This window comes from Homo sapiens, chromosome 4 (genome assembly GCF_000001405.40).
Source record: "Homo sapiens chromosome 4, GRCh38.p14 Primary Assembly".
Classification (NCBI taxonomy): Eukaryota; Metazoa; Chordata; class Mammalia; order Primates; family Hominidae; genus Homo; species Homo sapiens.
In genome coordinates, this window is record NC_000004.12 from 175,909,439 (window position 1) to 175,924,407 (window position 14,969).

Below are 14,969 nucleotides of genomic sequence, written 5' to 3' on the forward strand. Positions count from 1 at the left end.
ATTCATGAGTAAACTGTTATTAATATATTTGTTTATAAATAAATTCCTTAATGGTAACTATGAACATGGAACTGACATGATAGAAGAATGAAAGAAGCCGTGATTCCTACCTTCCATCAGCATACAATATAGGTGAAGGGTGAAAACACAGAGGACAAAAACATTTTAACACCATGTGGCATATTACTTATGGTTTTACACAATGAAACACAAGTACTAAAGGAAGAGCAATAACGAGAATTCAATTTAAGCTACAGTAATCTGGAAAAGATTCAAGAAAAAGGTACAGTCCATTGTGAATCACAAAAGTTGGTAGGATTTGCATAGGGCAAACAGAGAGAGATAAACATTTCTTTGAACAAAACAGGTTAAACAACATATTTAATGAGAAATAATCATAAGTGTATTTACAGTACAGTGAGAATGACATCAAAATATAAATTAAAAAAAGAGAAACCAAGTACTACCCTTGTATTAAACATGAAGAGCTCATGGAGTATAATAAAAAGCCCACCTATTTTCCACTGTCACTACAGTTTCAGAGTAGTCCCTGGGGCATGTTATGGTCCAGTGGTGTGCTAGTAAGCTGACCCTGACTTTCTGGGGGGAAACAGTTCTGATTGGCAGCATTTATCAGTTTCTGTGGCATAAATATGTCCATGGTGGCCAATTTCAAGCTACAGATGTGCTAATCACAGGATCGCAGTGTTCCTGAATATTTAACAACCATCTCTCTCAAGCCAGTGGAATTCTGCTACAGCACACCACTGGTTTCCCTGACCCTTGAAAAAATGTGTTTCTACCATATGTCTTCTCTGGCTATTCTTAGGCTACATAAATTTCAAAGTCTCCAAGTTGCAAAACACTATCTCCTTTTAATAATAAAAATGATGAAACTCATGTAATAATAAAAGCTTTGAACCTGCTTTGAAGCTGGGCAGGGGTGCAGGTGCTCCCAGCTTATCTTCTTCGTCCCCTCCTGCTGTTACTCCTCTTCTTAGTCGGGTACATAATTCACTCTCTCAGCCTTACTGGGCTGGTGAATGGAAAGGAAGAAGAAAGGGGCCCAACAAGCACTGTTTGACTGAGACTATGATGAGCTGGTGTTATAACCACAGGACATGGAATATATATAAAGCAGGTGTGCTCTTTTCATATTAACTAGGCTTCTGAAATTTCTGTCTTTAGCACCCTTCTACATGACCTCCCATAATCAGGATGATTGCTTCTCTATTCTAGATATTTTGCTTTCTCCTTTCTCTGTCCTAAGAAATCAAACAATAATTCCACACTTTTTCTGCTGAAATCTGCCTACCTCTCTAAACCGGAGTTCAACAACTTTTTCTGTACAAGGCCAGATAATAAATATTTTAGGCTTTATTGGCCAGATGGTCTCTGTAGCAACTACTCTACTCCTATAGCCCGAAGCAGCCATATGCAATCCATAAATGAATGAGCATGGCTGTGCTCCAAAATTTACAAAGAGGCAATGGGGTTTGGCCCGAGGTCTTGGCATGCCAACCTCTCCCTCAGACAGCCTTAAATAACATGTATTATGACCCTTGCTGGCTCACTCTTATACACAGTCCATTGCAAATGCTTACACATCCTATGCCCCGATAAACCAGGGTGGTGAAATAACCTCCCAAATCTTGGGCTGCCTAGGCCAGAAATCACTTAGATTTCTCAGGTGTCTTAGACACCAGTCTATCCAGCCCTCCAAATGATAGGGACATATATTAAGCTTTTCAGCTGACGTTAGGATCCTTCTCTTTTGACTTGGACAAAAGGTTTATTACCAGTTTTGGGGGCAGATGAAGGGGTGACGAGAATGAGACTCATAATACAAAATATACACTTAAAAAAATCCTCAAAACTCCTCTCTCCATCTCAAAAATATAATACGTTTCATGTCCTAAACATTGGCAAGAGGTTTTTCATCCCCTAGTTTGAAAATACTACTTAAGGCCCAGTAACACCTTGGAATATGTTAGCTATTATCCCCTGCTTTTCAGCTCAAACTTCCATTTTAGCACTCTGTGTAAAAGGTTTAATAGGAGTATTGGCATAGATCATTGACATAATAAGCCATGTATCCCAAATAAAGTGATTTTTAACTCTATTGACGGAGGAACAATAAAGTAGTTAGGGTGAAAAGTGATGAGTGACACAAGAAAACTACTCTTTAAGAAAACATAAGTTCAGTTAAGAACTGGTTGTATTGAAAATCAGGAGATATTCTGACAGCAGGGAAATTAATTAGAAGGTTCTTACAGATAATGTAATAACCCAAACTAGGATTATATGTACGAAGATGGTGACAAAAGTGGGAATATGTAAGAGAGACCAAACATCTGAAGGTGAGTGATTGCAGGAAATGAAAGAAGAGTGAGTAAACTTTTCTCCCCTTTCAAGTTTAGATGTCAAAAAAATGACAAAAATAAGCAAATCAAGAAGGGCAGGAAACGGAGTGACAAAGATGATGAATTCTATTCAGGACAGGCATAATTTGAGGTCATTTTAACACAACAAACTGATGTTTTATGCTAAGCTGTGGCTATATCTATACAGATTTTGAAAGCTAAACAAGTAGATGATACCATGCAGAAACAGGGAAGTTCACACAGCAAAGGAATACAGAAAAGAGAGAGAAGTTTGGAAATGCTCCCAGCCAGGAGTAGGAAAAAGAAATAAAAATAAACAAGTAAACAAATTGAGTTTATTTTTTATTAACTTTATATGAAATTTTGGGGAATAAGTAAAGTTTTTAATTTGATAAGGACAAAAAAGTTCCTCAAAGCCAATTTTTAAACATGTTTAAATATTTGTATTCAATATACAAGGAAGATGAGAAATACTCTTTTATGTAAAGTAGTAAGATTTGATTTATATACCACTTCTGAGTATCAACTCATGGTTCAAGCATAAAGGTCTTGCTGGGCATGGTGGCTCATACCTGTAATCCCAGCACTTTGGGAGGTTGAGGCAGGTGGATCACCTGAGGTCAGGAGTTCGAGACCAGCCAGGCCAACGTGGTGAAACACTGTCTCTACTAAAAATACAAAAATTAGCTGGATGTGGTGGTGCATGCCTGTAGTCCCAGCTACTTGGGAGTCTGAGGCAGGAGAATGGCTTGAACTTGGGAGGCAGAGGTTGCAGTAAGCCAAGATCACACCATTGCACTCTAGCCTGGGAGACAGAGTGAGACTCCATCTCAAATACAACAACAACAAAAAAGAATAAAGGTGTCAGTACCAGTTTGATTTCAAAAGACCATATTGTCTACCTGGAAATTCACATCAACTGTCTCAGCCTTATCTCCTCATATTCACAATGATAGTGGATACTGCACCTACACCCTAGAATGATGGTGAGAGTTAAATGAGGTAATGCAAATAAGGCAAGAGCATAATACCTGTCACCTTGTAGGTGATAAATAAATGTTAGGTATCATTATCATGTTCATTATCAATAAAATGAGAGCAAACACACTTTTCTCTCCTTACTAAAGTACCATATAATTTTTTAATTGCATTTTTCCCTAAAATTTACTTTATATATACATACGTATATGGCAAACTGGTTCTAATGGAAACAAACTCCTAGCATTTTCTGTAGAAAATTTACTAACTCTTCTGCATGAGTAAGATTATAGACATATGTCATTGCAAATAAGTGCAAAATATATTGCTGAATTTCTTTTTATGCATTGTTCTGGTGTCATTTCAAGTTGACCATATGCTTTATAATAACAATCTGAACCTTCAAGACAAGTGTTTACTACAGGAAAATTCACATCTATAAAAAGATGATTTGTAAACAAACAGAATCACCCACTATGTCTTCCAAGAATTGTGTCTATGCGTATATATTCATGTGTTTTAATACTTATATATGGAACAAGAATGCATCTATGTAAAGACACTGTGTTATACACATAAGGTCATGTACTTCTGTTCAGTAACTTGCTCCCTTTCCCAAAGTAGTAGCTGGTAATCCTTTAAGATGTAAACAGATTGATCATGCCTTTGCTCACAACCCTGCAAAGGTTCCCATTTCATTCAGAATGAAAGTCCAATCCTTGCACTAGCCCAAAGTGCTGAGTGATTTGATACCCTTACATCATCAGCCCCATCTCCCACTACTCATCCACCTATTCAATCCGGCCACATCAGCGAATTTGCTTCTCCTAGAACAGACCAGGCCTGTTCCTGCCTCAAGATTCTTGCACGAGCTGTTGTATTTGCTTGGTGCTCTTGCCCTGCCCCATCCCTTCATCTCCTTCAAGCCTTTGCCAAAACGTCACTTTCTCAATGAGGCCTACTCTGACCACTATATTTAGGATTGTAAACCCACCCGGATAGCATGGAATTCTCCAACCAACTTCCTTCACCTGCTCTTCTTCCTTTCTCCATCATACCTACCACCTGGTAACAGAATATAAAAAACCCTTGTTTATGAAGCATATTTTACTCTTCCCTCTCACCATTGACATCATCAATTCCACGTGACTGTAAACCAAAGAAGTGTCTGAGACAGGTCTCAATCAATTTAGAGGATTATTTTGCCAAGGTTGAAGGCCTGCCTAGGAAAAAGCCACAGAGACACAAGTCACCATAGGATTTGTGCCCCACATTTTCCCTAAGAGGGTTTTTAGGGCTTCCACATTTAAGGGAGGAAAAAGTGGGCAGGAGGGGAAAGAGAAAAGGAAAAAAAAATGTGTGGGGGGGGTAGGGATATGTAGTGAGGTGAGTTGTCACATTTTTGTGAGGCTTTGATTAGTGTTCACTTAATCCTGAATCCACATGCTGCATGTGGAAAGACGGGGTAAAGGAACAGTCAATCATGCATTTGTTTCATGCTCAGCAAATCAGCATTTTGTTTTGTTTTGTTTTGTTTTTGAGACAGAGTCTCACTCTATAGCCCAGGCTGGAGTGCAGTGGTGTGATCTCGGCTCACTGCAACCTCTGCCTCCCGGGTTCAAGTGATTTCTCCTGCTTCTGCCTCCTGAGTAGCTGGGACTACCGGCACATGCCACCACGACCAGTTAATTTTTGTATTTTGAGTAGAGACAGGGTTTCATCATGTTGGCCTGGCTGCTCTGGAACTCCTGATCTCAAGTGATCTGCCCGCCTTGGCCTCCCAAAGTGCTGGAATTACAGGCGTGAGCCACCGCGTCCGCCTGCAAATCTGCATTTTACATAAGATAAAGTAAACATAAGGTAAAGAAAGAAGTCAAATATGCATTTGTCTTGTCTAGTGCCAGTGAAGATAAGCAGTTAGTTTACATTGTCAGAGCGAGGGGGGGCCACTTGGGGAGATCCGTAGCCTTCTATCTTGCAGCTATCTGTTTAAGAACAAAAGGAAAGGTAGTTTTTTGTATGGCTCAGTTTTCAAGCTTAACGTTTCCCTTTGCCATAGTGTTTGCGGCCCCAACATTTTATTTTCCTTTCACAAGACACACCCCAAGCAATAACAATCAAGAACCTAGAAAAGTGACTGGCACAGCGCACATGCTCAATAAATATTTTTACACAAATTTTAATTAATATTGATTTTAAATGTTGAAAGATATTGCCAAATTGGCCTTCTAAAGCTTTTTTGACTGTTATTTCTTTCCCAAAGACAGAGAAAAATACACAAAATAAAACCACAATAGTATTGAGTAAAGAAAGCTTATAATGCAAGTTATGAAAATCAAATGTTATTTAAAAAAGAAAATACTGACAAATTTAATCATATTACAATTTAAAATATTTGTCTGAAACCAAAAGGCAAATAATCAACTATGGAGAAATATTTGTAACATCTATACCAGACAGGAGGCTATCCTTCCTTAATTAAAAAGGATTTTTTTTTTTTTTTTGACATGGAGTCTCGCTCTGTCACCCAGGCTGGAGTGCAGTGGTGTGATCTCAGCTCACTGCAACCTCTGCCTCCCGTGTTCAAGCAATTCTCCTGCCTCAGCCTCCTGAGTATCTGGGATTACAGGCACCCACCAGCACATGCGGCTAATTTTTGTATTTTTACATAGAGATAGGGTTTTTAATGGAGATAGGGTTTCATCATCTTGGCCAAGCTGGTCTCGAACTCCTGACCTCAAGGTGATCTGCTCCTTGGCCTCCCAAAGTGCTATAAGTCAATAAGAAAAAGACCAATCACCCTGTAGAAAAACTGACAAACAGGCAATTTCACAGATGAAGTAATAAAAATGATCAACAAAAATATAAGGAGCTAGGCACAATTTGATAAATGCAAATCAGTACAACAATATTATTTTTCATCCACCTCACTGGCAATACTCAGGGTATGGGGAAAAAAAGGGTATGAGAAACCAGACAACGCTGTCTGGTGATATGTTAGTCTTTTTGTGTTGTCCTTGGTAGTTGCTTTGGTTATTTGGTGGTTTGTTGTTTTGCTTTGTTGTTTGTGCATCTCCAAATGTGAATGTAGCCATGTGGACCTTACATTTGTCATCCTCTGCTACTTGCGTGCACACGGGGACTGGGTCATCCATCCATCTCCCTTCTCAGATTGAATGCTGAAGGGAAGGCTGATGTGTCATGCTCACCATTCTCTCTCACTCAGCCTGTTTTTATTGGATCAAAGTGTGTTATTCTCCTATCTCCACAGCCAAGTTCTCTGATAGTCTCACCATATAAAGTAGACACATGCAAAACAACAGTCTTCACAGGTCCCCGCTATGCAGGCCCCCAGGGTTCCCGATAGAAACCACATCTGTCCCTCCCTTTCCCGCATGCCACTTCTTCCCTATTTGTTTTCTGTGAGTTGCAATATACAGCGGAGAGCTTGGGTTTAAGAATACCATCCATGCTATACAAATACAAAAGTCTACCTTTCTGTTTAGTGCATCCCCTGACTCTCTTAGCCAAGGGCAAATGTGGATTAAAGGATCTAACGTATACAAGCTACTTAATTCCATCAGCTTTGGAGCTAAATCAAAATTATCCCATATTTTAGCAAAATGTGAAGTTTTGCTTTTCAGTAGTTTAGAATTTTGGTTTTTCTTTTTTTTCTGTACCTACTGTTTCAGAGGGAAGTTATGAGAACTTGTTAAAAAATGCTAACTGTAGATCATATGAATCAGAGTTCTTGAGACTAGTGCTAAATTTATATTTTATTTCCTTCATTCTGTATCACACCATGGGCATCCCTGTGAGAGAAAATAACCCAGGAGGCTGGCCTGAAGAGTGTATACATTATGGGGGGAAATATAATAATCTGAGCTAACACACACTTTCTAATTATAGAATCAGATGCAATCAATCAGAGGTCTCACATAGTTTCAAGCTTTACTAACATTTTCAAGGATAGGAGCAGTCAAGCGTTTCAGGTAACCAAGTCTAGATCCCATGACACTCCCCAAGCCCCTCCTTCCACATTAAAAACACAGTTTTCCTGGCCAAGAATAACAGGTGAGGTGCGGGAGAGGTTCTGCAGATTATTATTCACATAAAAGAGAATTTTTAAGTTATGAAACATCTTTTTATACCCCCAAAGTGTTTTGCTGTTTATGGGCATTCTCCTACCTCTTAAATCCATAGACCCAGGGTTGATTTACTATAAGCATTCTTTTAGCTAAGGATATCCTGTTAAAAGGATCCTGCTGATGCGATTAAGTCCTGGCAAATATCATCCGTCTATAGAAGTCCATTGAACAGGGAGGCTGGAGCAGGTCACTGGCCTTGCTACCTTTCCTCCAGCGGGTGGGGGTAGCAAGAAGGCATCACCTTGGTAAAGCAAGCGAATGGGTCCCAAGGCAGCTTCTTACCCTCCTCCCTCCACACAATCACAGTTTTGTTTTGTTTTTTTTTAATCTTTAAGCATCCTGAAATTTCAGATGCTCTCCCCATTTTAACATTCCTTATAAGAGCCATCTTCTTCCCCAAGCACTGCCCCTTGCCTGCATTGAAGGACCCTGCTACAGATGCTGCTGCTGATTTAATGTTGCAAGAAAAGGAATATTAGCAACAAATAAGCAAAACAATGAAACGAAGGGCTTGAGATAGCAAAAGAATTCCTATCAAAAAAAGGTAACATATGACCTAACAAGAACAAAGAAGGCAGAAACAGGCTGACTGGATTATACATCTGTCCATGTACGTTACCATAGTAGTGTGGGCGGCTATTAAAAATCCACCTAACAGATGATTACTCTTCATTCATCCTCCTTGATACAACATTCACCAAATGGGGAGGGGGTTGTCAAAATAATCCAGGATGGACATGTTAAAATGCGTGAGATCTGGTATGTGGGAGGAATGAGTCGGTGCAAAAAACACATAAAAAGACAATGGAAAAATAATACCAAATGGCTTAAGAAATCTCAACTTAAGGAGAAAAAAAGCTTTCTAAAGAAAACACTAGAGAGACAACAATGTTAAGTAGCCTTATAAGTCAATGTGTAATTTGTAAGAGATTATATACTATTATAATAATTTTTAAATAACTGAATCCTTCTTTCCCGGTTCCCTATTTAGTAAAATTTAAAACAGTTTTTAAAAAGTCTATCTCATTTTAAATAGTAACTGAAATAGCTGCTTTAGTGATAAATCCCATCAAGATAAAAGAGTAAATTACCATAATTCTTTTCCTAACATATTATATAAATCTTGATTCCCACAATGAAAATTTCTATAGAGAGCATATTTTACACGCATAACTTAAAAACCTGAGATTGAACATGGACAGAAAAATGAAAAAAAAAGAAACTTTATAATGAAGACATATTTCAGACACTCTTGATGATAACCATATGTGCAAGCTATGAATGTTTTTAAAAAACATTGGAGAAACTACAAAAATATATGCTAGGAATTTGTCAGATTTTAAGGATATGTAAAGTTTTGCTTAGGTAATGGAGCTGATAAAGCGGGCAGCAGCTGTTGAGTTACATGTGGAAGAGGCTTTAGGAGAAAAAATAGAATTGGAAAAGAAAAATCTTTAAGTAGGGAAAAGAAATGAGGCACACAAAATAACATCGCAATAGGTTTTAAGAAAAATTAGTATTCATCAAGAAGGTGCAGATACAGTTCCTGTCCTTAACAACAAAAAAAAAAAGCTACAAATGAATTCTGGAAAATATCTTAAATTATTGTTTCCCATTTTCCTGTGGAAGACAGTTTAGCAAGACCATAGAATGCTTGGAACTAAAGATAGCATTTCCTTAGTCTAAGATCTTTGGCTGAAAAGCTGTTAATTTAGTTTGCTGGAGTTTCCTAAGAAAACTGCATATCATGTTTCTTAATTCTTTTTGTCAAAAACATGTGTTTCCAGTAGGGTGTCTGAAATGCAGAAATGTATATTTAAATTTCTTTTAACAATTTGTGAAACAACAGCATATCACATGTTTTATCTTATGTCTCTAGTTATTAATAAGAAGGAATTATCATCACATCTATACAGCATTCTTTTATGATTTGTCTGCTTATATCCTTTACTTTTTATGAGCTACTGGTTTTTGTCTTATTATCTTATAAAATATATTTAAATAATATGGAGAAAGATTTTTATATACTTGTTTTATAGTCTTATATTTTGAAACAAAACTGAACTCACTAATAAATTGATATAAAACTAGGGAATGTGGGAAAATTGCCTTTTATCATTACGATAAGATAGGGTATCCTTTCAGCACACTTAATTTAACTGTATAGCTAATTAAAATATCTTCTCATTAAGGACTGCTGCCCATCACTTATAAAAAGAACTCAACCCTTCTCATGATTTTTCTTTTTTTTCCCCTTCTCATGACTTTTCTGGCACAAATGAGGTCCCTGGCAGTCTAGTAAAATATAATGAGTTTTTTTGAGGTACTTCTAAAAATTCTGTGTATCATAAAAGGTGACTTGTGGGTCTCACTCCACCATAACCTGCTTAAATCCAGGATCTCACCTTTTTAATCCAGCAAGATCCCCGGCCAAAAAAGATTAATGGGCCAGAAGAAGCTTAAAGAGCTTTTGACACTTTTACATAAACATTTCTAACTTAAAAATAGAGGGTCTTTTTATTTTTGGACCAACAAAACTTACCCTTACTTAATTAAAACCATCAGTGAAGTTTGCCAATGACTTTCCAGCAGGCTTGTAACTACCAGTATGCAAGGGTGAATAAAGAAAAATTAGGCCAAAGCTTTCATCTTTAATAAACAGAAGTAGTCAATAGGTGAGCCCATGACTGCTAATTTCCTTTCAAACATCCATTCTCTCCTTCTCTCTCACATTAACAGAATTCCCATTTACAACTGGACACACTCCTAAATGGTCACATTTCCCAAGCTGTGATGAAGCTGGGTACAGTTATTGACCAAGTTATGGACAAGGAGCTCTAACTATAACCAAGTAGGGATCCAATTCAGTCTGAAATCTTACTGCTGCCTCAGGACTCCCCTGTAATGGATAGCTATGTAGCCCCCCAAATTTCCTCATGTGTTTCAGATTAAAAAGCACCATCTATGTGAAAGATGGTTCAAATCATTATCTCCTGTCTAGACTTCCATCAAGGACGTTGTGAAGCAAAGAGAATCTTACTCTAGTGGACTCTTCCTTCTATCTTCTCATGTCTGGCCATCTTTGGTCATAAAAGGAAAGTAACCTCTAAAGGTGATGGAGCTTGGCTTACGCCATCAATTGTGCATGTGAGTATGTTTATGTCTGTATGTGTGTTTCTATGCTTGTGAACAGAAGGGGAAATTGTCCTTTCCAGGAAGGCAACATACAATAGAATCAGTATTAATTACTACTGATATTATTATTGCCACTGGGATCCTACATGTCTGGCAGGAATTTAGGACATAATGTTTAATTGATCCCACCTCTGCTACCAGTTGTGTTAGCCCAAACAAGTCACTTATCCTCTCTTGTGCTTAATTCTCTTACCAGTATAAAAGGGTTAATTACTTTTTAAAATGGTCTTATAAAATGACACAAAAAAATAAAGAACTGAGAACTGTTCCATGCATACAGCAAGCACTCAAAGAATGTTAGTAACTAATATCACTGGTAGTGTTAATCTAGATGATGATATAATTTGGTTATTTAGTCACTTACTGAGTTCAAACTATGTTCACAGAAACAATACTTAAACTACTGTTCATAAGAATTATACGGCTGGGCGTGGTGGCTTATGCCTGTAATACTAGCACTTTGGGAGGCCGAGGCAGGTGGATTGCCTGAGCTCAGGAGTTCGAGACTAGCCTGGGCAACATGATGAAACCCCGTCTTTACTAAAAATGCAAAAAACTAGCCAGGTGCGGTGGTGCGTGCCTGTAATCCTAGCTACTCAGGCGGCTGAGGCAGGAGAATCACTTGAACCCGGGAGGCGGTGGTGGCTCACTTGTGCCACTGCACTCCAGCCTGGGCAACAGAGCGAGAATCTGTCTCAAAAAAAAAAAAAATGCTTTGAATATACTCTAAAAGTCTCTGAAATATTATTGCTCTTTATTGAATTATATTGACATGTGTGATCAATTATAAATATGTTCTTGCATCAGAACATTGTCAAAGCATATGCTTCTACAATAGATGAGGAAACATAACTCCAATAGTAGTAGTATATTTATAAATAAGAAAATAATTTCCATCATGAAGAAAATTAGGATTATCTTTAACCAATCTGTTTATATGTTTAATGTGATATTTCACATTACTTGGAATTTCACACTGAAATCTTTATAATGTCAACTTAATTTTAACACTGAAATCTTTATAGTGTCAACTTAATTATTAATAACTTTCAATAACAAAAGATTCAGAATCTTCCTTTTTAATATTCAGTGTGATCTATTTAAAAAAAATCATCTCCAATCTTCAATTATCTAATCTCAAAAAATAATATTCCATCTCAATCACTTAATCTCAAATTCACTTAAATGTCAAATTTGGCTTTGCTTCTTATACACTCTGTATGCACTTTTTCCAATTCATTAGAGCACTGAAAAAGACAGTGGAAACATAATTTTGTTCATATATGGATAGAGAATTTCAGTATTTTAATCAGAGTCTTTAAGTAAATCCACGCATGATCCTGCCAAAAAAAAATCATGGACCATCATTCCCAAAGAAAAAAAATGAAATATAAATAAGATTACATAATCATAACCTGCTAAATAAGATGAAATAGCAAAGGCATCAAATAATTCCTAGGAAAAAATAGAATTATGCCTTCATTTTGTTTATTCAGTAAATTTAATGCATTTTGAAAATCCAGTTTTGTATGCAAGAATAGAGTGAGATGTATTTTACACCACAGAAAGTATTCAAATCCTGACCATGAGCCATCACCTTGTTTGCTGCACTAGCTTTCTTGCCTTTGTTTTTGGAGTGGAATTTTACATTTACTTATTGGAGTGTACCATATTTCCAAAAACAGCTAACAAAAATGGCAACACAAATTATATTAGCCTTATACAGCTGGTACAGGAAGTCTATATAGGATGGCTGTCCTTCTTCAGTACTTCATTTCTCTTGGGCAATAATCCAGGTCACTAGAACTAGAATGGGAGGGTAATCTGCTTCTCAGGGAGTAATAGAAGACCCAGTTTGTGTGGTAACTGAACACAAGCCTTGAAGACCAAGAGAGATGAGCTTAAATCCTGCTTGCCTACCTAATACTTACATGATTCATAATGTGGGGTAAAATATGCTTATGTAAAATGGAGCTTCTAATACATCAGGATTAATGTGAAGGGTTAATGTGAAGATTGTAAGAGAAAAGGTAATGTGAAATACCTGACACATGTTAGACCCTCAATTCATGTTAGCTTCCTCTCCAAGCTAAAGCAGTGTTTAGGGAATTTCTGTTAACACATAATGATACCCAAATGTCCTATAAGTCCCACAATGGTCTTCTTGAGTATCCTGATGTCAGCAATCAGTCCACATTAATAGATTTTTACCTCCTCCACATCTTTATGCTAAAAGTTCCCTTGGACTCTTCAGCCTGATATTAGTCCAGCTCCATAATTATCTCAGAGCCCTCAAAGATCCTAAGGTATTAGTCAGGAAGTACAAATTACCTTATTCTTGTATGTAGATAGAAGCCAAACTGGAAAGGTTCCCAAAGGCTTCCAGACTTACCTCTGCTCTGAAACTCACACCAAAAAGAAGAAATCTGATATTGGAGAAATGAAAACTTTTCCAAGGTGGTATAATGAAATAAAAGGAAGAAAGCAATTCAAGAAGCCCAATTTGAACATCTCTACATAGATGAAACTAGCTCATTTGATTTCCCTTCTAGTGGAATGAAGTCAAAGTCTGGAAAAAGATGAGTTTATTTGGGGCTTACAGTAACACTTACATTATAAAACTCTGACAAACTCTAAAGCAAAAATCTCTAGCTACTGGTAATTTTAAATCTACCTAACATAAAATTTAATTGAATATGAAAAAGCTTTCAACTTTTCTTTTCCTATCTTTTCTTCATTTCATTAACTGATGAAAAGAGATACTGTATTAGCAGTTATAAACAGAAACACATCATTGCCCACTACAATTGCCCTATAATTTAATCAGTACATCTTGTAGCTCATTTTTATCTGTACTGGTAACTAAAATATAATCCACGCTTGTTATTTGTCTAGGATATCATAATAACATGACTTCATATGTAGATACTATATTATTCATATAAAAATTGATTTATAAATCTTTTTCTAGAAAATATAAATGCTGAATCTTTGCTAAGGTATAGGTTAAACAGTTATTACAAACTTTGTCAAAGACAATCTTTATAGTCCCTGACATTTCATAACATGATTTATATATATATATATATATATATATATATATACACAACATACAAGTGAAAAGATTAACAACTTGAGAGTGTTTTTTCTTTAGAAGAATATTTTACTGCAAAGGTAGAGAGCCATGGGAATGTGTATGAGCACATTGAATTTAGAGTTCAAGTTCTGGCTACGAGATACCTGGGAAAGTAACACACATTGAATAGTGAGAGGCAAGCATATACCTGCCTCATCAGCAGATGAAGTGTGAGCAGAAGTCGGTGATGGAGGGGAAGGTTCCAAGCCTCCAATACTCCATGCTCACCTTCCTGCAGTTTTGGGGTTTTTTTTGTTGCTTTGTGTTTTTTTGTTGTTGTTTGTTTGTTTTTAAGACAAGATCGGGCTCTCTTGCCCAGGCTGGAGTGCAGTGGCGTGAGCTTGGCTCACTGCAGCCTCTGCCTCCCATGCTCAAGTCATCCTCCCACCTCAGCCTCCCAAGTAGCTGAGACCACAGGCATGCACCACCATGCCCAGCTAATTTTTGTATTTTTTGTAGACACAGGGTCTCATCATGTTGCTCAGGCTGGTATCCAACTCCTGAGCTCAAGAGATCCTCCTGCCTCAGCCTCCCAAAGTGCTGGGATTACAGCTGTGAGCCATCATGCCCAATCTCATCTTTCTGCTTTTGAATCAAGTCCTCATGGCTGGCATTGCCTCAGCCATCTTGATATCATAAGACAACAAGCATGAAGAGTAAAAATGGTCATCATTCCTGATTTGCCTGGGATCATCTAGGTTTGCCTAGAATAGTCCTATTCGAGTATTTGTCCTAGGTATTTCCTTTCAAATAAATAATCATTATTAATAGTTGCACTCAAATAAGCAAAGATGCATTTGGTAGCTCTCTACTTTCTACTTCCTGCTTCCTGTTTCTGACACGACCATATTAGTAGCGTGTGGGAATCTTATGCAACAATTAGAGCTCTCATTTTAACACATGCTTAAATCTAAAGGTTAGCAGTGACCTGTCTTTATTGCTGACGTTCGCCAAATGAAATATTACTCAAATCACCTTACAGAAACAGCAGGCAGTATAATTAAAGACAAAAAGAATTACACCGGACACCATTTTCTAGGAACAGACCAAAGTGGCAGTGAGAGAATGCTTTGATGCTCCTGCCATTCCGACCACACATTGTAACCCCCAAAGGTGCTGTGGCCCTTG

The 14,969-nt window shown here is 37.4% G+C and overlaps 1 protein-coding gene and 1 long non-coding RNA gene across 5 annotated transcripts in view; both read right to left on the reverse strand.

The window, feature by feature from the left end:
• The window catches only part of GPM6A (glycoprotein M6A), a 369,457-nt gene that overhangs the window by 276,502 nt on the left and 77,986 nt on the right, over positions 1-14,969 (reverse strand). The gene's annotated exons all lie outside the window — the stretch shown is intronic.
• LOC107984113 (uncharacterized) overlaps positions 1-14,969 on the reverse strand; it is a 59,731-nt gene that overhangs the window by 7,513 nt on the left and 37,249 nt on the right. The gene's annotated exons all lie outside the window — the stretch shown is intronic.